The 24,244-nt window shown below is 42.4% G+C and overlaps 2 pseudogenes, besides 1 other annotated feature; both read left to right on the top strand.

Annotated features, from left to right (window-relative positions):
* Positions 3,406 to 19,797, top strand: ZBED1P1 (zinc finger BED-type containing 1 pseudogene 1; annotated as a pseudogene).
* RNU6-205P (RNA, U6 small nuclear 205, pseudogene) lies at positions 4,322 to 4,428 on the top strand (annotated as a pseudogene).
* Positions 13,407 to 13,496: an enhancer, noted in NCBI's record as "active region_21816". NCBI's record gives its function as "activates an Ori minimal core promoter by ATAC-STARR-seq in GM12878 lymphoblastoid cells {active_cell/tissue: GM12878}" and the evidence as "EXISTENCE:reporter gene assay evidence [ECO:0000049][PMID:35858748]".

Below are 24,244 nucleotides of genomic sequence, written 5' to 3' on the forward strand. Positions count from 1 at the left end.
CCCCTATCTCCCTTCACAGACTCTCTTTTCGGACTCAGCTGCCTGCACCCAGGTGAAATAAACAGACTTGTTGCTCACACAAAGCCTTTTTCGTGGTCTCTTCACACGTATGCGACTGAAAGTTGATACCATTAAATATATATGTAGGCTGGGCGCAATGGGTAGGCTGGGTGCCATGGCTCACACCTGTAATCCCAGCACTTTGGGAGGACGAGGTTCATGGATCGCTTGAAATCAGGAGTTCGAGACCAGCCTAGCCAACATGGTGAAACCCTGTCTCTACTAAAAATACAAAAATTACAAAATGCAAAATACAAAAATACAAAAAATACAAAAATACAAATATATATATATTTATTTATTACTTGAAAATTTCTTGGCAGGGTGTAGTGGCTCACATCTGCAACCCCAGCGCTTTAGGAGGCCAAGGGTTCGAGACCAGCCTGGGCAACATTTTTAAAGAAAAAACAGTTAGCCTACTTGGGAGGCTGAGGTGGAAGGATAGCTTGAGTCCAGGAGATCTAGGCTGCAGTGAGCTATGATTGCACCACTGCACTCCAACCTGAGTGACAGAATGAGACCCTGTTTCTAAAAAAAATAAAATAAAATTATCCAAGTTAACCTGGTTCAAAATATTACCTGCGCTTCATGTAAGTGCACGAGTCATGAAGTCATTTTATTTTCTTAGCATGGAGCTTGATCCTATTGTCTTCCTTGCATTAACAGTGCTTCTGACCTCATTCCTGTCCCTGTCACCTAATGTGTGGGTGAATGTAGTTTTTCCCCACTCCATACCCTATTTTAAGATTTTGCTCTTACAATATCATTCACTGGTCATAGAACTTCAGTGGATCCTTTGTGTCAATTGTACAAATAAAGCTCCTGGCATTCAAGGATGGCTGATATGTATTCTTATCCTATTTATTCAATCCCCTGACCTCCTATAACCGGACTGCTGAGTACTGCTGAAGAAACACATGGATTGGCACTATTTTTTTTTTTTGAGATGGAGTCTCGCTCTCTCACCCAGGCTGGAGTGCAGTGGCGCCATCTCTGCTCACTGCAAGCTCCACCTCCCGGGTTCACGCCATTCTCCTGCCTTAGCCTCCCCAGTAGCTGGGACTACAGGCACCTGCCACCATGCCCGGCTAATTTTTTTGTATTTTTAGTAAAGACGGAGTTTCACCATGTTAGCCAAGATGTTCTCGATCTCCTGACATCGTGATCCGCCCACCTCGGCCTCCCAAAGTGCTGGGATTACAGGCGTGAGCCACCGCGCCTGGCCACGGATTGGCACTGTTACAAACTCATTATCTTCATCTAACCTTACGAACTTTCCTTACCATCTGTAAATATATGGCTTTCTCTGCTCTACTCCTCAATAACTATTTTAAATCTTCCTCAAGCATTAACCTAACATACTTATTCTCAGGAGCCCACGTAGTTGTTCTGAAAAATGGAGAAATTCGGTGTGATTTTTCTCACGTATCTTCCCATGAGCTTACAAGCTTATTGACGCTCACTCATCTATAGCGTGTAGGATGAGATCTACATCCTCATCGTCCACAACTTGTGTTTTTCTTTTTTTTGAGACAGAGTCTTGCTCTGTCATCCAGGCTGGAGTGCAGTGGTGTGATCTTGGCTCACTACAACCACTACCTCCCCGATTCAAGCGGTTCTCCTGCCTCAGCCTCCCGAGTAGCTGGGATTACAAATGTGTACCAACACGCCTAGCTAATTTTTCTGTTTTTAGTAGAGACAGGGTTTCACCATGTTGGCCAGGCTGGTCTCGAACTCCTGACCTCAGGTGATTCACATGCCTCGGCTTCCCAAAGTGCTGGGATTACAGGTGTCAGCCACCGTGCCCAGCCCTTCCACAGCTTTTTCTATGACACTTACCCTTGTTCCTTGACCCTACTCCGTTGGCCTCTGAGCAATTTACTCTATTGGTCAATTCCCCTTCTCTCCCAATATCATCAATCTCTCTCTCACACTATTCTTCTGATTTCAGCATAAAAACTAAATAAGCATTCACATCCTAAAGCATGAAAAGCTTTAGGGTATAACAAGATGAATTTAAGATGCTTTGTAAACTTGGTGGAAGTACAATTAGAAGTTATGTGTAAATGTTTGTGTTGGCAGTTGTAATCAGAATTGTTTTAGGGTTGAATGTACAGGAAAGTTTTAGAATGCAGGACTGTGGTAAGTACTTTACTCATTACTCATCCTCTCACTGTGTTTAAGAGATGAATTCAGGGTGCCTTAGGACAATTAGCATTTCTAGATATAAACTACATATTATCAAGAGATCTACACAAGCCAGCAAACATCTGCAGCTCTTCAGCATGGAAGGTGGCAGCTATAAGAGCAATAGCATACTCACAAGCATCTCTCCCAGGGAATTATTTTCTGGTCGTGAGCACTTTCCCCCTCTAAGGCCTACTACTGGGTCAAGAGGGCAAGAATCATGTACCTGTTAGCAGGTTTTGTTTGTTTGTTTGTTTGTTTAAATACAAGGTACAGGTCTTTTCTCAGAGGAAGAGATAACCGAACAAAGCCCTCACCAAGGTCTTCGTATACTCCGCTAGCCCAGTTCTTTAAGCCCATCACTGTCTGCCTAGATTGTAGCTTCTTTAGGACACAAACATGTTCTACAGATTTTACTATGCCTTATGCACCTACACTAGTTACTAGCTGCTCAATAAAACTGAGATGCAAAAAACATGAATACAGGCAAGGCTGATGACTCACAGCCATTCGTGCAGCTCAAGAAGGGACTGCAGAGCGTATTGTTGAGAAGTAAGCATTTGTTTTCAGCTAATATTTTAATATAATGGCCTGAAAAGTTATATAATTGGTTGATACCTATGAGAATGCAGAAAAAGTATGCATAATCCATTTTGAGGCTAGGAGAACATTTTTTTTTTTTTTTTGAGATGGAGTTTCGCTCTTGTTGACCAAGCTGGAGTGCAATGGCGTGATCTCGGCTCGCTACAAACTCCACCTCCCAGGTTTAAGCGATTTTCCTGCTTCAGCCTCCTGAGTAGTTGGGATTACAGCACCCACCACCACGCCCGGCTAATTTTTTGTATTTTTAGTAGAGATGGGGTTTCACCATGTTGGCCAGGCTGGTCTTGAACTCCTGATCTTAGGGATCCACCCGGCTTGGCCTCCCAAAGTGCTGGGATTACAGGCATGAGCAACTGTGCCCGGCCGAGAATACTTTTAATAAGCTCTATGCACAGAAATAATTTTGCAAACTTGAAGAGTAAGTCAACACAATTAAGATTTGTTAAGCATGTATTGGGCCCATTAAGGAAGAAGTAGCCATTTCTAAATAGGCAGGTAGGAAAGCTCTACTGTGATGAGGAGAAAATCTTTTTTGTTTAATATTGTCTTTGGAATCTGGTGTTTATGTTATATTTATAACATAGTGAACTTGGACTATTTACATTTCAAGTGCTCAGTGGCTATCTGTGTCAAGTAGCTACCATTTTAGACAATATAGGTGAAAAGGCACCTTAATATTGTTTGTTGAGGGAAGGTTATGAAAACACTTATCAAGTTGGCTGGGCATGGCTATGCGTGCCTATAGTCCCACATGCGCAGGAGGCTGAGGTGGAAGGATTGCTTGAGGATAACGGTTTGAGGCTGCAGTGAGCTATGACCACCCCACTGCATTTCAGCCTGGGAAACAGAGTGACACCCTGTCTTAAAAAAAGAAAACACTTAACCCCCTTTGTGCCCACTTCTTAAAGGTTTTCTTATGGGGATTAATACCTTGCAATTCCAGTTTTGTACACGTATCAGTGGCCTGCAGCTTCCCACAGGCATCTCTTTACGTGACACCAGGGAAGCTCCAAAGCAGGCAAGGCAAGGTGCTGTCAGATTACACTTACTTAAATTCTGGATATCACAGCAAAAACTAGAGTAAAACTGGGCAGAGAAGAAATGAGATAGGTTACAACATATAACTAGCAAGTCAGGAAGTTAAAATTAAAACAATGAAGAGATACCATTTTTTATCCTATCAAATTGACCAAGATTAAAAAGCGATAGCCCATTTAGGAGAAACCGAACAAGAGCCCTGGGAATGAATGCAAAGGAGTCCAGTATCACTGGGTAGATAGGATCGACAGGGTGAGACTATTGATTAGATATGGGAAGTAAGGGAAAGGCAGGTGTTCCACCTGCCTCCAGCCTGAGTCACTGAAAGGATTCTTTTGCCATTAGTTTAGTTAGACAGAGAATATAGGAAAGAGAGCTGGTTTTTCAGAAGCAAGAACGGATTGGTAATGTTGAGTTAAAAATTTATATTTGGGTGCTCACTTCAGCAGTGCATATACTAAAGTTGGAACGATACAAAGAAAATTGGCATGGCCCCTGCACAGGAATGACACACAAATTTGTGAAGAAAAATAAAGTTGTATTTGGAACTTGTTAGTGAGATACAGGTTGTGAGTCACTGCAAATAAACAGCAGCTGAAACCTTCTCCAGAAGGACAGTGAGGTTTTAAAAGGACTTAGGGGAACTTCATCAAATGCCAATTTTAGAGGGTTGTCTGAAGATTGGGGGCTAGTGGTAGGAAGAAAATGAGGACATCAGAGTGTCATAGATTGGGGAGATATTTTCAAAGGAGTGAGTTTAACTCAGCTGAATGCTGCAGAAAGGTGGAGTGGTAAGAAAGCCACAAAGAGGTCATTCGACTTATTTAATAGAAAATTATTTCAGACTTTAGAGGGAGAAATGTCTATAAAGTAAAATGAGCAAAAAAGACATTACACAGGGTTGGAATAAATAATACCAGCTCATATTGAAGGAATCACAAAGTGATCTTCATGTTGATGAAGGGAAAGAAAAATGATAGTCTGTGGTAGGAAGTAAAACTGCTGAGATGGACATTGAAATCTGGAATTGTGAATATGTTTTTCTTAGAAATTTAATAAGAATTAAAACTAATTCTTCTTAATTTAAATTTTTTTTTTTTTGCAGTTGCAGTAGTAGTTGCAAGTGAAGGAGGGTAAGAGAACAGTAAAGAGAAAAATATGATAAGGGAGGGCCATGGGATTTATGATTTTAGTTACTTTCCTCCCGGTTGTCGCTTGAAGAGCAGGCGCAGATCCTCTAGAGGTTCAAAGGAATTGCTAGCGTTGTTTCCTGGATTTTCAGGTTCCTTTGGTAGTATCCAGGGTTTGACTCGAGTGTGATGTATCCAAGACTCCACTCCAGCCACTTTTACTGCGGTTGGGGTAGATAAAATGACTGGGTAGGGTCCTTCCCAGGATATATCTAGGCAATGAGAATTAGAGGGAAGGGACTTGACTAATACCATGTCACCAGGGTGGAATAGTTCCTTCCCCTCTTCTCGGGGACAGGCTCCTTGTAATGTTTTAAGAACTTGTTGATATTTGGATAAGGAGGTGATGTCTGCAACTAAGTTGGCTCTCTCTCAGTCAAGCACAAGGTCATTGGTTAGGAAGGGCTATCCATATAGCATTTCGTATGGGCTAAGTCCTGCTTTTTGGGGAGAGTTTTGGATTCTTAGTAAGGCTATAGGCAACAGAGCAGGCCATGTGAGGTGGTTTTCCTGGGTTAGCTTTTTTTAGATGTCGTTTGAGTGTTTCATTCAGTTTCTCGGCCTTCCCTGAGGACTGCCTCCAGGCGCAGTGTAAGTGATATTGTATACCTAACACCTGGGATACTCCTGGGTTACTGTAGCCTTGAAAGCAGGGCCATTGTCACTCTGTAAGCCTCAGGGAAGTCTGAATCTGGGAATTATTTCATGAACTAATGCCTTTATTACCTCTTGGGACTTTTCTGTCTTACAGGGGAAGGTCTCTGCCCAACCAGTGAAAGTATCTACCCAAACTAGTAGATACTGAAATCCCTGAGATTTGGGCATGTGGGTAAAATCTAGTTGCCAGTCTTCTCCTGGGTAATGGCCTGTTCTTTGTTCTCCTGAAGGAGCTTGGTGATAAGGCATGGGATTATTTCTTCGGCACACTTCACAGGCCCTGACTAGCTGCTTGATAGTTTTGAAAAGGCCTGGTCCAGTAAATAATGATTTGGCCATCTGATGGGTGCTATCAATGTCTAAGTGAAAGGTTTGGTGAAGGGTTTTAAGTAATTTCCATTGGTTAGCTGCAGGCAAAAGTATTTTTCCTTCTTCGGTGGCTAGCCATCCTGAGGGGAGGAAACTATGTCCTCGTGAGGTTCCCCATTCTATTTCTTTTTCTAAGTATTGGGGCTTGGTTTCCCGGAGGGGATTACCCCATACTAGGGGTCCTTCTATAAGCATTTCTAATGGAGGGTCCTGCCTTGCGGCTCTTTTGGCTTCAATATCCGCTTGGCAGTTCCCTTTTATTTCCCTTTCCTTTTCTTTCTGACCACCCCAGCAGTGTAAGACTGCCACCTCTTTAGGTTTCTGTATAGCCAATAATAATCTCCTAATAACTTCCTGATGTTTGATAGGTGTTCCCTCAGAAGTTAAGCATTCCCTTTCTCTCCATATTGCTGCGTGGGCACGGAGGACTAGGTAAACATACTTAGAATCTGTATGTGTATTTACCCTTTTTCCTTCTCCTAATTCTAGTGCCCGAGTGAGGGCTATTAGTTCTGCCAGCTGAGCGCTGGTTCCTGGAGTGAGGGGATTATTTTCAAGTATTCCATTATCACTGAGCACTGCATACCCCACTTTTCAAAGTCCTTTTTCTACAAAGGAACTTCCATCAGTATACAAGTTGAGGTCGGGATCAGTTAAGGGAACCTCTAAAAGGTTCCCTCGAGCGGCCTAGGTTTGAGAAATTACTTGTTGGCAGTTATGTTCTATCTTCATTGTCTGGAAGAAATGTGGCTGGGTTAAGAGCTGCACAACTGCGCAGTTGCTGCACTGGCCCTTCAAGTAATACAGCCTGATATTTAAGTAAATGGTTGTCTGACAGCCACAAGTCTCCTTTAGCAGTGAGTATGCCATTCACATCATGAGATGTCCACACAGTAAGATCTCTTCCCTGTATCATTTTAACTGCTTCAGATGCTAAGACTGCTACTGCCGCCACTACCCATAAACAATGAGGCCAACCCTTTGCCACTACATCAATTTCCTTACTCAGGTATGCCATGGGTTGCAAGCTCATCCCTCAGACTTGTGTAAGGACTCCTAGAGCTATTTCCTGTTTTTTCTGTGACATACGAAGTAAAGTCTTGCCCTGTTGGCAAGCTTAACACTGGGGCTTGGGTTAGGGCCCTCTTTAGGGCCTGGAAAGCTGCTTCTGCTTCAGGTATCCATCTTACTAAATGGGTATTGGCTTTCTGAGTTTCCTTAATTAGCGTATATAATGGTCTGGCTATTTTGCCATACCTGGGAATCCATATTCAGCAGAAACCTGTTATGCCAAGGAACTCTCTTAGTTGCTTTAGGATTTGGGGATGAGGATAAGCCAGTATAGGCTTGATATGTTCCTCACTGAGGGCCCTGGTGCCTTTGGATAATTTTAGCCCCAAGTATTTAAACTGCTGTGAGCAGAGCTGGGTCTTTGGTTTGGAAACCTTGTAGCCACAGGTAGCGAGGAAATTTAAGAGTGCTTGGGTGGCTTGATGGCACAAGGTTTCTGAACAGGAAGCTAAAAGTAAATCATCCACATACCAAAGGAGAAGAGTGTCCAGGTATGAGAATTGGCTCAAGTCTTGGGCTAATGCCTGGCCAAATAGATGGGGGCTATCCCTGAACCCTTGGGGTAAAAAAGTCCAGGTGAGTTGAGATGTTGCATTCGAAGGATCTTCAAAGGCAAACAAGAATTGAGAGTCAGGATGTACAGGGATGCAGAAAAAGGCATCCTTAATATCCAGGACTGTAAACCATTCTGCTTCCTCTGGTATTTGAGAAAGCAGAGTATAAGGGTTAGGTACAGCTGGGTATAGAGGGACAACGGCCTCATTGATAATCCTGAGATCTTGCACTAACCTCCACTGTCCGTTGGGTTTCTGTACTCCTAAAATTGGAGTATTGCAGGGGCTATTGCATGGTTTTACTAGGCCTTAGGCTTTTAGGTCCTTAACAATCTTTTGGAGTCCTTGTTGGGCCTCCGGTCTAAGGGGGTACTGCCTTCGGTAGGGAAAGAAGGCGGAATCCTTTAGTTTAACTTGAACAGGATGGGCATTCTTTGCTGGTCCATATTGTCCTTCTGTTGCCCAGACTTCAGGATTAATTCCTTCCTCAAGCAGGGGACAACAAACAGGTGTTCCTTCTCCTATGTTCAGTTGTATAATGGCCCCTGCTTTTGCTAGAATGTGTCTCCCTAACAAGGGAGTGGGGCTTTCAGGCATAATTAGAAAAGCATGTGAAAAGAGTAAAGCTCCCCACTCACAACTTAGTGGCTGGGAGAAGTATCTAGTGACTGGCTGTCCTAGGACCCCTCGGATAGTGACAGATCTGGAGGACAGTTGTCTGGGACAGGAAAGTAAGACTGAGAAGGCTACACCAGTGTCCCAGAGACAGTTAACCTCCTGGCCTTCAATGGTCAAGCATACCCGGGGCTCTGTGAGGGTGATGGCATGGGCTGGCGCTTGCCCCGGGCACCCTCAGTCCTGCTGCTGGATCATCTGGTTAGTGGCTTCTGACTCAGAGGACCTTCATCCCCTGGGGCAGTGGGCCTTCCAGTGATTCCCATGCCATAAGGGGCATGGACAAGGGGTGGCTTACTTCTACTTGGACAATCTTTTTTAAAGTGTCCTTGTAGACCGCACTGGAAGCAAACCCTATTAGGCATTCAATTTTCTCAGCTTTTCCCTTTTCCAGAGCCTCCATAGTCCGCTTGCCTGAGGGCCATGACTAAAGCGGTGGCCTTTTTTTTTTAATCCCGTTTGTCCCATTCTGCCTGCTCCTCCTGATCTCTATTATAAAAAACCGAGGTTGCCAAGTTCAATAGGGTTTCTAAGTTTTGTTCCGAGCCTAAGACGGACTTTTGAAGTTTTTTTCTAATGTCTGCAGCTGACTGAGTGATAAACTTATCTTTTAAGATTAGTTGGCCTTCAATAGAGTCAGGTGGCAGGGAGGTATGCTTCCTCAATGCCTCCCTTAGTCTCTCTAGAAAGGCAGTAGGATTTTCTTCCTTTCCCTGTGTTGTAGTGGACATCATTCAATAATTCACAGGCTTCTTCCTAGTTTTCCTTAGTCCTTCTAGCACACAAGTTAGCAAATGTCTGTGGCACCAATCTCCATGTTCTGATTCTGTGTCCCAGTGAGGGTCTACATTGGGAACTGCCTGCCGGCCTGTGGGGAATTATTCTCTTTCCTCTCTTGTCATCCTATCATTGACCTGACTGAGATACCAGAGATCGCCAAACTCTCGGGCTGCAGTTATGGCGGCACTTCTCTCATTCAGGGTTAGTGTCTGATTTAGCAGTAACATTGTATCTCTCCATGTCGGATCAAAGGATTGTCCTAACCCTTGTAAAACATCAATATAGCCATCAGGGTTATCTGAGAATTTACCTAGGTCTATTTTAATTTGCTTTAAGTCTGAGAGAGAAAAAGGTACATGCACTCTGGCTGGGCCAAATTCTCCTCCTCCCACTGCTTGGAGGGGGCATAATCGGGGAATTTTGGCACTCTTTGGTTCATTGTCTACCCCTTTGTCTATCTCTTTTTGGACCATTTGGGTTGAAGGGGGGTCCTTATTAGTTGGAGAAGGAGTCGGAGAGACGCTGGGGTAGGGAGGTAGGCTCTGAGGGCTTCCTGTAGGGCATAAATCACACTTCTTACAAAATTGCAAGTTGTCTCTTAATGAAAAGAAATTTTGTACATATGGCACTTCACTCCATTTGCCTTCTTTTCTACAAAAGAGTTCTAGCTGTAAGATGGTATTATAATTTATACTTCCCTCAGGAGGCCAGGTTTCTCCCCCTTGAAGAGGATATCGTGGCCAGGCGGTACTGCAGAAGAATATAAGTCATTTCTTTCTTAGCGTCTGAGGGTCAAATTGGTCCCAATTCTCCAGAATACATCTTAGGGGCATTTTTGCCTCGGGGGGAACGTTTCCCATCGCTTTTGGAGGTCCCTTTGTGGTCACCAAAATGTTACTGGGGGGTCCTTGCTCCTAGAGCTCCCAAGATGGTGGCAGGCCGCTTCCAAGGTGGCGGCAAGCCTCGTGTTCTCTGACCTGGGGTTCTTGGCCTTACCGATTCCAAGGAATAGAATCTGGGGCCACGTGGTGAGTGTTATAGCTCTATTAGAAGCCGTGGGTCATGGAAGAGAACCGTGGAACCCAGTGACTAGTGTTCAGCTCGATTAGGACGAACCCAGGCACTTAGCCATGCAGCAACAATGGCAAGCCTCTAGCCTGATCAGGAGTGGCAATGGGCACCTCGCTGGCTCAGGAGCACAGCAGACACCCTGCCGGATTCGGAGGGATGGAAGTCAGCGGTGGGTCTGCAAAGGTGGCAAACAGCAGTGGTGGACGGCGAGCAAAAGCTCAGCTTGAGCCATAACAAACACGGACCAGAAGTGAGTGCAGTTGCAAGATTTAATAGAGTGGAAACAGAGCTCCCATACAAAGGGAGGGGACCCAAAGAGGGTAGCCCAAATTTTTTAAAATTAAAAAAATTTAATTTAAAATTTAAAACATTAAAATTAATTAATTTTAATAATTACAATTTCATGTAATTAAAAATTTAGCCAGGTGCAGTGACTCATGCCTGTAATCCTGGGACTTAGGAAGGCTGAGGTGAGAGGATCACTTGAGCCCAGGAGTTTGAGACCAGCCTGGGCAACATAGTGAGACTGCTATCTCTACAAAAAAAAAAAATTAACCAGATGTGGTGGTAGGCACCTATAGTCCCAGCTACTCGAGAGGCAGAGGTGTGGGGATTGCTTGAACCCTGGAGGTAGAGGTTGCAGTGAGCCAAGACTGTGCCATTGCACTCCAGCCTAGGCAACAAGAGTGAAACTCCTTCTCAACAAAACCCCCCAAACAACAACAACAATAACAACAAAAACACATGGAGCTACATCAAACTGAAAAGCTTCTACACAGCAAAGAAAATAACCAAATGAAAAGATAATCTACAGACTGAGAGAAAATATTTGCAAACCATTAATCTGGCTAATATCCGAAATATATAAGAAATTCATACAACTCAATAGCAACAAAACAAAACAAAAACCCAAAAAAGCTGATTAAAAGATGGGCAAAGGACCTAAAATACATTTTTCCAAGGAAAACATACGAATGGACAACTTATGAAAAGGTGCTCAACGTCACTAATCATCAGGAAAATGCAAATCAAAACCACAATGAGACATCACCTCACACCTGTTTAGGATAGCTATTATCAAAAAGGTGAGAGGCAACAAGTGTTGATGAAGGTGTGGAGAAAAGGAAACCTTTGTCCACTGTTGATAGGAATGTAAATTGGTATAGCCATTAGGCAAAAAACTATGGAGAGTTCTGAAAAAATTAAAAATAGAGGCAAGGCATGGTGGCTTATTCCTCTAATCTCAGCACTTTGGAAGGCTGAGGCATGAGGATCACTTGAGCCCAGGAGTTTGAGGCTGTAGTGAGCTATGATTGTGCCACTGCACTCCAACCTGGGTGAAAGAGAGAGACCTCATCCCTAAAAAAACAGACAAAAAGGAAATAAAATCAGTATCTCGAAGTGATATCTGCACCTGCTTGTTCATTTCAGTATAATTCACAATAGATATGGAAACAATCTAAGTGTTAATTGGCAGTTAAATGGATAAAGAAAATCACACACACACACACACATACACTGTGAAATATTAGTCAGGCTTAAAAAGGAGTAAATCCTGCCATTTTTGACAACATGAATGAACTTGGAGGACATTATGTTAAGTGAAACAAGCCAGACTCAGACTCAAATATTGTATGATCTCATTTATATGCAGAATCTAAAAAAGTCCAACTCATTGAAGAAGAGAGTAGAGCAGTGACTACCAGCTGTTGTGGGGTGGGGGAAATGGGAGATGTTGGTCAAAGGTTACAAACTTTCATTTATAACATGAGTAAATTTTGGGGATCTATTGTACAGCATGATAGCTACAGTTAATAATACTGTATTGTTTACTTAAAATTTGCCAGAGAGTATGCCTTAAGTGTTCTTATCACACACACACACACACACACAGAGTACATATATATGGTGATGGATGTGTTAATTAATTTGATTTTGGTAATTATTACACAAAGTATATGTACATCAAATCAACAAGTTGAACACGTTAAATAGATATAATTTTTCTTTGTCAATTATACCTCAATAAAGCTGAAAAAAAAGAAATATAACATGAGTCACAAACGTGAGCCACATTGTAATTCTAAATGTTCTAATAGTCACATGAAAGAAGTAAAAAAAGTAAAATTAATTTTAATAATATATTCTATTTACTAGTATATTAAAATCATTACCATTTAAATATGTATTCAGTATAAAATTATTAATGAGATAGTTTACTTTTTTAAAAATATTAAGCCTTGGAATAAGTATGTATTTTACACTCATAATACATCTCAGTTTGGACAGGCCTCACACTTCAAATGCTCAGTGTGTACCGTATAGGACAGTGTATCTTTAGATCACTGTTGTCAATATAAAAACAAAATATGTGAAAATCTTTATTATAACAATTGAATTCATGATTTTCCTCAAATGAAGGCAAAGAAATAAAATTTTATGAAATAAGTATACTATAAAATGATTTATATGGTGTATGTGTCCTTATTTTATTATTCAACTACACATCAATAGAATACTCAGATATACACACGTGTGAATATATTAGTTGTCTTTGATGTTTTTCAGGCACATAAAAAGCATAACTTTACATGTTTTTTTACTTAGTCACTATAAAGTTATATTTATCAAGGTAGGCACCTAAAACATTTTATTTATTTATTTATTTTTAAAGTAACCAGTTTATTTTGTTTTATTGGAGGGTGTTGATTGGGCATTTTGTTTTGTTTTGTTTTGTTTTGCTTTGTTTTAGAGTCGGAGTTTTGCTCTGTCATCCTGGCTGGAGTGCAGTGGAACGAACATAGCTTACTGTAGCCTCGAACTTCTGGGCCCAAGGGATCCTCCTGCCTTAGCTTCTGGAGTAGGGGGCACTAGAGGCGCATGCCACCCCACCTGGCTAACATTTTATTTAAGAGTTTACTAGGCCAGGCACAGTGGCTCATGCCTGTAATCCCAGCATTTGTGAGGCTGAGATGGGAGGATTCTTTGAGGCCAGGAGTTCGAGACCAGCCTGGTCAACATAGTGAGACCCCATCTCTAAGAAAAAAAGGTTTGCTAACTTGATTTCCAACACTTAAATATTTGGGCATATAGTAGGCATTCATCTATAACCTTGCCACAGGCCCTGCAAAAGTTGGACTTGGGCCTGGCTTGGAACTCTGCTTTCAAATGTTGGCATGACTCATTCCCTCACTCCTTTGAGAATGAGCTCAAATTTCGTTTTGTCAGTGAGAACCGAAACTGTATACACCCACATAGCTTACTGTGTATATTTACAGGCCTTTGTTATTCTAGGTTTCATCAACATAGCTTTACTATTCTAGGAAACTCTTGCTGAAGAAGATAAAAGTTGTGAATAACATTATCATTCATTTCAGCAATGTCCCAAAAGGCCATCAACTCTTCATGAAAAGCATCAATTTGTTCCTCCAGTCATGGGAGCCATATCAAAACTACAGTTGAAACCCCAAGACTGCTTGAACCCAAGACTCTTTGAAAACCTTGCCTTTACATCTTCACTTTGCTGTGACCACGAATCTTAAACTATTAAGTCATAATCCTTACAGAGTGTTAATTAAGCACTGATATCGGATAAGATCTGTCTTAAACTGACTTAGAGTCCCAGTAAATATCCTGACTTTGTTCTCCCTCTTCTGAGATGCTCTAAGATTCTGTGGAGGGAGTACTCCCTTCCCAAGATCAATATAAGCTCAGCTTTGTCTTTTCGACAGGTTGTCATAGTGATAATTTGGGGAGCCAGCATTCAGGATCAGTAAGTCTTTCTCTGAACATTCTTTTTTTTTTATTTTTTTTTTGAGAAGGAAGTCTTGCTCTGTCACCCAGGCTGGAGTGCAGTGGCGTGATTTCGGCTCACTGCGACCTCCCAGGTTCAAGGGTTCAAGCGATTCTCCTGCCTCAATATCCTGAGTAGCTGGGATTACAGGTGCCTGCTTACCACGCCTGGCTAATTTTTGCATTTTGAGTAGAGACGGGGTTTCACCATGTTGGCCAGGCTGGTCTTGAACTCCTGACCTCAGGTTTTCTACCCGCCTTGGCCTCTCAAAGTGCTGGGATTATAGGCATGAGCCACCATGCCAGGCCTGGTCTTGAACTCCTGACCTCAAGTGATCCACCTGCCTCGGCCTCCCAAAGTGCTGTGATTACAGGCGTGAGCCACCGCGCCCAGCCTAGTCAAATTGTTTTATATAAGAGAATGTTAATCAAATTTTCTGATCAGGTGATTTTTCAAAAGCTAAAGCATTATATCAGAGCTTATATCAGTAAGAGTAGCCGGGGATGTAGAGGATATTCTAAGCATAAATCTTTCTGATGATCTGGCTTTATCCCAGAGATGTGAAATTAATAACACATCAGGGTATAAAGAGAATATTCTTTCCACATGAATATCATTTCTCATAAAGGAGTTTTTACAGAAAATTAGCAACTTCTCTGGAATTAAAGGAACATCGCTCTGTTACCCAGGCTGGAGTACAGTGGCGAGATCATAGCTCACTGCAGGCTTGACCTCTCAGGCTTAAGCAATCCTCCTGCTTCAGCCTCCTGAGTAGCTGGGACTACAGATGTGCACCACCGCACCCAACTAATCTTTAAATTTTTAATTTTTTGTAGAGACGGGGTCCAACTATGTTGCCCAGGCTGGTCTCAAACTCCTGGGCTCAAGCAGTTGTCCACAGGCTGCAGTTTTAGTTCATACAGAATTGTCCTCAAAGAATGTCATAGTCTGGGCTACATTTTGGACTTATTTCCCTTTCTTCTTTATGGGGGATGTTCAATCTGTGATTTTCTGAGTTCCTCAGATGAAAGGCTTCTGCAAGTCTGTGAAGGTTTTTTAAAGTCTTGAATTTAAGATGAAGAATTGTTGAAATTAGTCTGGGACATCTGCTTTGATGAAGAGTCTTGACAGCCAATCAAAAGATAGCAGGTTTTCAGCTTCTCTTTTTAGAACCAAGACTATCTTGAACTTACTCTCTTTGAGCAGGATTTTTCTCTTCATCATTTAACACGGAAAGAAAAAAGGGATGGAACAGGGTGAATTGAAGCTCACAAGGACATGCTTGAAGAATTATGGGTGTACAAGCAAACTTCAGGGTAGGAGAAAAAAGAATCATGGGCGAATGCTTCCTTTAACATTTTACTAAGTGGGGTTTGGAAGGCAAGAGAGAGGTGAGGAAAAGACCTGAATCAATAGAATGGATGTAGAGTATGTGTTACTCAGGGTCCAATAAGGAAAGGAGAAACCATAACAATTATTTTAACAAGGAAGTTTAACATAGGGAATTGAGCCAGGTGCAGTGGCTACGCCTGTAATCCTAGCACTTTGGGACGATGAGGCGGGCAGATCACTTGAGGTCAGGAGTTTGAAACTAGCCTGGCCAGCATGGTGAACTCCATCTCTACTAAAAATACAAAAAAAAAAAAATGCCTGGAGTGGTGGTGGGTGCCTGTAATCCCAGCTACTTGGGAGGCTGAGGCAGGAGAATCGCTTGAATCTGGGAGGTGGAGGTTGCAGTGAGCCAAGATCCTGCCACTGCACTCCAGCCTGAGTGACAGAGTGAAACTCCATCTCAGAAAAAAAAGGCTGGGGGGTGGAACTGGTTAAAAGGGTATTGGAGGGAATTCAGATAACACAGAGAGTAACTGCAGGAAGCAGCTTGCATTCCATAGTAGTGGTAGAACCAAGAGAAAAGACTGGGGTTCTCAAAAGCTTATGCGCTTGAAGGAGAGGCACTGTTAGAGCTGCTTGGCTTGTGCTGTTATCTCTTGGCTTGTGATAGGTATCATTATGAGGCTAGTTCTAATAGGTGGAAAAAAGCTAGAATCTGGAATCATTTGCTTCTGCAACCAGCTGTGCTTCTGGGGTGAGGATGCATTTCTGTGGTGACCAGAGAATAATAGAAAGCAAATAGAAAATTGTGAATTCCTTCTCCCTCCTCCTGCTTTCTTGTCTCCCTCTAGTTTCTTCTACCAGAAGAACTTAACAGGAAAACAGATGGTAAAGGAGAAAAGTGTTTGCAGAATCCTAGTCCCAGCATCACAGAGCTAGAAGAGAAGGTTTGAAGCTGAGAGACAATAGCTTAGTAACTAACACAGAGATGCCAGATGTGGATACAAAGAGAAGAAAAATCTGAAGACTGAATTATGAGAGAAAAACTAAGAACTAGAGAGGAGATACATTTAAAGATGTATTTAAGAAAACTACATTAACTGACAGTGCATTTTGGAGTAGGGTTGCAATAAAGTGCTGTGATTTTATTTCACTCTGAGTATGGAGTAGTAGTTCAGCCCACCCAACAGGGTCAATCCAGTCACAGTTGCCTTACTTGTAGATAAAATGAAGTAAGATAAGCCTTAGCTAAAATAAAGCAGCCAAATAAAAAAAATAGAAACTATTAATACATTTAATAGATTCTCAAATGGTCAGGGCTCTTCCCTGCTTTTTTTTTTTCTAAAGTAAAAGCAACCAAAAAAATAGAAAATACTTGTATTGTTAAGACTAAGATGATAGTGAACAAGGCCACTCATACTAGAGAGTATTTATGGGAAATGTTTTTGTATGGAACCAGATAATTTAATAATAGCCACTGTAATGGGTGATCTCAGACAAATAACATCTTTGGGTCTTTTTTTCTTCTTTGTAATACATGAATTGAACTAAATGAGTTTTACCCTCTCTTTTAGCTTTTGACTGTTTATGTATATTAAAATGACTGCTTTTCCCCCAAAGAGCTATTATCTCAGGTATTTATAGTCTAAACCCAGAGAACGGGAGATTCTCTTTTAGTTTTGATTTTATCATTCTTGAGAAACGTTTTTGTTAACACTTTGGAAAATATAACCACAGCGTGCGGAACTGAGCAATAGCAGGCTTCTATTTCATTCCCAAATCCTTGGATAACAGGATTCAGTGAACGGCAATGGTACCAAAAATTATGAAAGTGATGAGTCAAGACAAGTACACATGGCACCCAAGGAAATCTCAGTTTTAATTTCATGATGTGACAAGTTCCGTGCCAATTTTCTCTGTTAGATAATATATTCAGTGTTTTGAGAATTCCAGGCACTTGAAAATCTTTTCAACAAGAACACTATAAAAAAATACAAAGAGCCATTTGAAAAATTAGTTTTTGACTACAAAAATCTTAACTATGTGAGGTAATAAATATGCTGATTGGCTAGATCTACTCATTCCATAATGCATATATACTTCAAAACATCGTGGTGTACATGATACATATAATTTTTTCTGTCAATTAAAAAAAATAAGGTTATTTATTAAATAAATACATGGAGAGACATACAATGTTCATAGATTGAAATGTCCAGAATAATAAAGATGGTTTTTGCTGTCTGCCTGGGATGGCCCTGCACGTCTACATAGCTGGTGCCCTGGTGATTGTGGCACAGCTGCCTGAGGAGCTGCCTGAGGAGGGGTGGTGCCTTCCCAGAGCCGGGTCCCCACGAGTGAGTGGAAGTTCAGCAGGCAGGGTCTTGTGGAGAAGCAACAGAGAATAAAGGCCTGGAAATCTCCCAGATAGACCTGAAGTTACAGGCCCACCTCTACACCCATGGCAAGATGTGGAAGTATTGCAGCTTGGACACCGATACCAAGTCATGAGTCTTGCCATGGAATAAAATCTGCTGCATCTGCCTGGTGCAGATCACCTATTCTGAAACACCTCCAACCTGTCCTGCCACCTGAAGGAGATGACCTCTAAGAGTTTTACAGTCACCCAGCAGATGTGGGAAGCCTTCACTCCCACCTCCTCCAAACCGAAGCCCAAGTCATCCCAGCAGTTGTCGCAGGACCCACTGGCCACAAAGGCTGGCCACAGTGATGAGAGCAAGCAGTAGCAGGAACTGATGGCCACGTCCTTGGGCTCATATGCAAGGGGCAAGGATATCCAGTGAGGACGAGCCCACTTTCAAGGTGCTGGCCGACCCCAGGTACCAGCTCCTGAGCAGGAAGTACATCTCCACCAAGGCCATCCCTGAGAAGCATGGAGGGTCAGAGAGGTGATCCTGAAGAAGCCAGCCAACGCCTTTTGGTGTGGCATCTCCAGGGGCAAGTGGAGGAGTGAGAACCAGAATCGAGTCTTGGTGATATTGGCTGTCCAGTTCCTCGGTGTTAGCTCCCCCGACAGCCTGTATGTGGGTTCCGGTGCCTGAAGACATTTGAGGTGCTCGAAAAGAACACAGCGGAAACCATCATGCCGGTGCTCTTCATCAAATGGGGCATCAACATCAAGGAGTGCAGGGCCACCACCGACTATGGCAAGGACATCATGAAGGTGTGCCCCTTGCTCAACATTGCTGTTCAAATGCCTTACTTGTGCAGACCTCCTATGCTGGCATCAGCAGGCTTTCCAGCTCCCTAAACTGGAGAGCCTGCTCTCTTGGTGCTGTCCACCGGTGGACTACTTCCAGCAGCCCACCATGGCCTTTGACATGCTCTTGTGGAGAAGCAGACACAGCAAAACAGGGACACTGCATGCTGGTGAGCAATCATCTCCTGGTGGGGAAGCATACTGGCCATGCTGCAGCCGCTCAAAGAGCAGCAGTGCGTCATCCCTGGTGTATCTGAAGACAGCAACAATCACAACCTGATGTTGGAGGCTACCAAGTGGTCCACCATCCAGGGGCTGGTGGAATTCCTGCAGCTCTGCAAGCAAGTGGCCAAGATACTGTCTGCCTTGAAGTATCCCACCATCAGCACAGTGAAACTGCTGTTTCACATGCTGCTAAATACCACGTTCAACAACAAGGAGACTGACTCCAAGGAGATCCCCATGGCCAAGAGGGTGATTGCCAAGGAGCTCTACAAGACCTGCTAGGAGACGCCTGAAATGGGCATGTTTCCAAATGTCACCATCTTCCTGGACCCACGCTACAAGAGGCTGCCCTTCCTGCTTGTCTTCGAGAGGCAGCAGATGGAGAACTCTGTGGTCAGGGGCCAAGGCCTCCTGGACAACGTCAAAGACGGCAGCTACCGGCTGGCCAATGCAAGATCTACCCTTTGCCGGAAAAACGTCCCGTGAAGAAGCTCACGGGGACGTCGGTGCCTCAGCCCTCCTGCATGATCAACAGCATGCTGGCTGAGATCTGCCGCCAGACCAGCGGCCTGGAGGACCAGGAGGAAGGGCATGCCCAGGTGGTGGAGGAGATGAGGGACTTCAAGTTTTAGAAGGTGCTTGGCCACCTGCGTTGTGCTGGAGCATCTCTTTGGCTCCGCAGCCAAATGGTCAACACCAAGAGGAACCGGCTGGCCCCTAACAAGCAGGTCTTTCTGTACCTGAACGAGCTTAACCAGGCAGAGGCGGAGGCAGAGCCCGAGGCCCAGGACAAAAAGCAGTGGGGCTTGGATAGAGAGCAGGTGTTCCCTTGGGAAACGGTGTCAGCCAAGCTTCTTTGGCATCTGGGATAGTGGCTTCCTATAGAGAGGAAGCCTTGTCTTATGAGTCATAGCCTCGAGGTAGTCTGTTGGATGCATTGCTTGTAAATACTGTAAATATAGCTTGGTTTTGAACCTCAAAGACCAACCGTGGCCTTTGAAATCTAAAGGGAAAGGCGGAAAACAGAAAGAGATGTTAGAAGAAAGAGATAAAGGCTTTGGGTTGATGGGTCCTCTTCTCCTCTGGTCCATCAGGCAACTCCTGCTTGGGAGTTGCCAAGGGGAAACTCCCCAAGGACAGCAGAACCTGGAGGAGGTTTTGGATCACAGACACTTGGGACATGGCACAGGCACACCATTTGCGATTTCTGATTGAAGTTCTTCCTGGGAGGGTTTAGAATAAATCCAAGAAAATTCTGGGTGGAATCATCTGAGGGATTTTGGAGATCTCTAGATGAATGAATTCATGTTTACTTTTTTTTGAAATGGGGTCTCACTCTGTAGCCCAGGCTGGAGTGCAGAGATGTGTTCTTGGCTCACTGCAAGCTTCGCCTCCAAGGTTGAAGTGATTCTCATGCCTCAGCCTCCTGAGTAGCTGGGATTACAGGTGTGTACCACCACACCTGGCTAATTTTTGTATTTTTAGTAGAGGTGGGGTTTCACCATGTTGGCCAGGTTGGTCTCGAACTCCTGACCTCAAGTGATCCACCTGTCTCAGACTCCCAAATTGCTGGGATTACAGGCATGAGTCACCGCGCCCGGCGATGTTTACATTTTAATGGAAGCAGAGACCATGCTTCTGGGAGATTTGAAAGAGATCCTTTAGCCCAAATGTCCTTCCTGCAAAAGAGAGATCAGTTTTATGTTTGGTTAAACGTGTGAATAATGAGCAAAAAATGCAGGCACTTTTAAAACACAGGGGAAAAAAGGCCTTGAATGTGTTGTATTTTTGGCATGTTGCAGGCAATTAGTCTTTTTATCTCAAAATTCACTTTGTAGACTTGGTTCCTGAAAGACAAGTCAGGCCAGGCGCAGTGGCTCATGCCTGTAATCCCACCAGTTTAGGAGGCTGAGGCGGGCGGATCACCTGAGGTCAGGAGTTCGAGACCAGCCTGGCTAATATGGCGAAACCCCGTCTCTACTAAAAACTACAAAAATTAGCTGGGCGTGGTGGCGAACGCTTATAATCCCAGCTACTTGGGAGGCTGAGGCAGGAGAATCACTTGAACCTGGGAGGCAGAGGTTGCAGTGAGCCAAGATCGCGCCATTGTACTCTAACCTGGATGACAAGAGTGAAAAACTCCATCTCAAAAAAATAAATAAATAAATAAAGTCTCTTAAGAGTTCCTGGTTTTCTTGTGTGTCTGGTGCCTGAATGCTTCAGTGTCCCAAGAATCACATTTTTTGGGGGGTTGGAGGTGGCTGTGTGAGAATAAGACCCCTCCTTTCAAGTGCTATTTTAAAACTTGCACACAGCAGGCTTTTTGGCATCAATAGGGGTGTTTTAGATTTGATTGCTGGAAAGAATTCTTGAATTCTCTCTTTTCAACTCAATACTATAGGGGAAAACTACCACTGATAGTTTCACTATGGGGGTCCTTATGGGTTGCTTCTAATGATTCAGGGAAACAGACAATTTCCAATACTTAGAAATACTTTTTAATCTGGAGAAAAAAATACTTCCACTGAGTGACAGCCTTGCTCCACCAGAATCAGCACATCTCTTCAATTTCCATGTGGGATGATTCTGTGCCTCCGTGAATACAAGCCAGGTTGGAAAGGTCAGTGTATAGAGAGGAATGAAGTTTAGAAATGACACATTTCAGGTATTGGCAATATTCTGCTGGAACCCCAAGATCTGATTGGATCATGAAGTTTAAGCAGGAAACACCTGCGTTTAATGGCTGGTGACTTTCCGTGGCTGCAAGCAGTGTAGAATTTTATGTCCCCAGTGGCTGTGTGTTTGTAGAAAATTGTGTGGGAGAAAGTTACTTAACCTGTGCTTTGTTTTTAAGGAAAGTGATTTCTCCACAAACTTTCAACCATCAGCTCTGAGTGTTCTCAGTAGAAGGGTGGCCAGAAGGGACATAATGGGGCATGCTTTGGGATTTGTCTCCCTTCTGCTCAGAGGCTGGAAATGCAGGGCAGCACATGCCTCCGTGGGCTCTATTTTGTAGCACTGCAAATGTTCCCTTCACATTTCTTAAAATCATTTGCTTTTTGTAATTCATTATGAAAATGTGTATTGCTCCAATGAGCTGCCTCTGTCTGTCTCATTTTTATTTTTAAGTCATTGTTGCCCTCCTTATTGGTTATCTTTTCTTTATTTAATGTTTTAAAATTTGACTCATTTGATAAACCAGAGAAATAAATTAGCTCCTAATTTTAAAAAATAGCAAATATAATAATCCCCACCCAAGTAAAATTAATTTTTGAACTTCTGAAATAGAAATTCTGGAGAGGGAAGATGTTTTTCTATCAGTGTTCTGCTGTTTTCTGTTTGCTTACGGCATCATTTGTTTTCCTTAAGTTACTATTTCTTAAGCCTGAGAACCACGGATACCTGAAACTATATCTGCAGACTCCAGTAGGAGAAGTCTATTTTAAGTCATACCATAAACTTATCAATGAATCAGAGGAGAGATTATCCTGATGACCTAGCAAGAATCAATGAGATTTTTTGCACTGTCACAGATAAGTTATTGGTTTGTTACTATCTTTGTTTTGTTTGTTGTATTAATTTGTTACTATTTATTGTTGGCATGCAGGAATGGAAAAACAGAATGAAAGTTATTTCTCCTGTTGTGTTTCTGGATGTCAAGCCAGCTCTCTGTGTTCTGAATGTGTCATGTCCACTGAGATATACTGAGATTGTTTTGAAGAAAGAGAGAAAGGAAGCATTCGCTTGCCCAGAATAAGAGAGCGATGTGGGGTTACTTTGGGAAGAGGGTTGTGGGCTCACCTTGGGAAGATACATGGATTTATAGAAACTAGAAGGCTTGAAGGGGCAGGGAGTGGTGGGTACTGTGGGGAGACCGGTGCACTGGTCTGATGGTGTTGACTGTGTGGATGCCTGGGAACCCGGCATTCTCATCTGGGACAGGTAGACGCAGACATCAGCAGTGACCATATGGACCGCACACCAGATCTTCCTCAATTTTCCCAAGTTGTATAAATACTAGGAGTCTTATACAAGATTAAGAGAGAGGTAAGGGACTCAAAAGTGATCCATATTGGATTTCCTTCCAACAAGTGCTATTAATAACTAGGGAAATAAAGTTCTATGAGCAACGAATTCATACCTTACAAATGGTACACACTTGCTGAAGGGCACAGAGAGGTGTTATAATCTAACTGTAGAAAAGTTTTCTTACTAATAATTTTAAATTTATAAATCTATCTATAATTTCTGAACTCATAACATGCAGCTAGTATGATTAGACACTTATGAAAAAGAAATTAACAACAACAATAATAATGAAAAACAATAATGGAACTTTGTGGTTTGCAGAATACTTTCACAATCATCATCTCTTTTCATCTTCCAACAATTATATGAGGTGTCATTTTTCCTCGCTTATAAGTAAAAAAGATGAAGACCAAAAGGTTACTTGAGCTACTTTGCATAGTTACAAAATGAATAAATCTATGAGTCAGATGTTGCCAACCAGGTACCTTTGAACTCAATACTGTTAGGGTTCTCATTTTACAAAAGAGGAAACCAAGGCTCAGAAAAATGAAATACGTTTCTAGAGAGATCTCACAATCCCTTGCATATGGCATAATTAGCATCTATAACTCTAAACTTTACCACGATGACAAACTCTGGACAAAGAGGGTGAAGGGAAAGACTTCCAGGAGAAAGAACAGCTTTCAGGAAGTACTGAAGTGAGAGAGAAAGAGAATATATTCTACCTCCCCTCACCAGCTTTTTATTTTGAAGTGTTTTAACTCAGAGACAAGTTACGACTCTTTGAATGAGCATCCCTCCCTTAGATTCAAAACTTCAACATTTTGCCAAATTTGAAAATAAATTGAAAAGGTGTACAAAGATACAGTTAGATGGAATAAGTTCTAGTATTTGATAACACAGTAGGGAAATTATAGTTAACAATAATGTATATTTCAAAATAACTAAAAGAGAAGAATTGCAACGTTCCCAACACAAAGAAAAGATAAATGTTTGAGGTGATGAATATCCAAATGATCTGGATTTGATCATTACACATTGTATACAGGTATGAAAATATCACATGTACCCCCAAACATGTATAGCTGTTATATATCAATAAGAATTATAAAAAAGAAAATAAGTTGCAGATGTAATTACATTTCGCCTTTGAATACTTCTCCATGCCCTTTTAACAATATGGCTGTTTTTGTAAAAGAAAGTTGTGAGCTGAGTTTTGAAGAAGAAAAAGAATGTATTTTAATTAAAAAAAGTAGGGACACATTATTATACTACTGCTTTAATCACTGATACATGAAACAGAATAAGTCTGACTTTTTTAGGGTGTCGTTTAGCTTTTGGGAAATAATAACTATTTTATCTTAATTTTAATGTGTGTATGTGTATTTGC

The sequence above is a fragment of the Homo sapiens genome, chromosome 4, assembly GCF_000001405.40.
Source record: "Homo sapiens chromosome 4, GRCh38.p14 Primary Assembly".
Classification (NCBI taxonomy): Eukaryota; Metazoa; Chordata; class Mammalia; order Primates; family Hominidae; genus Homo; species Homo sapiens.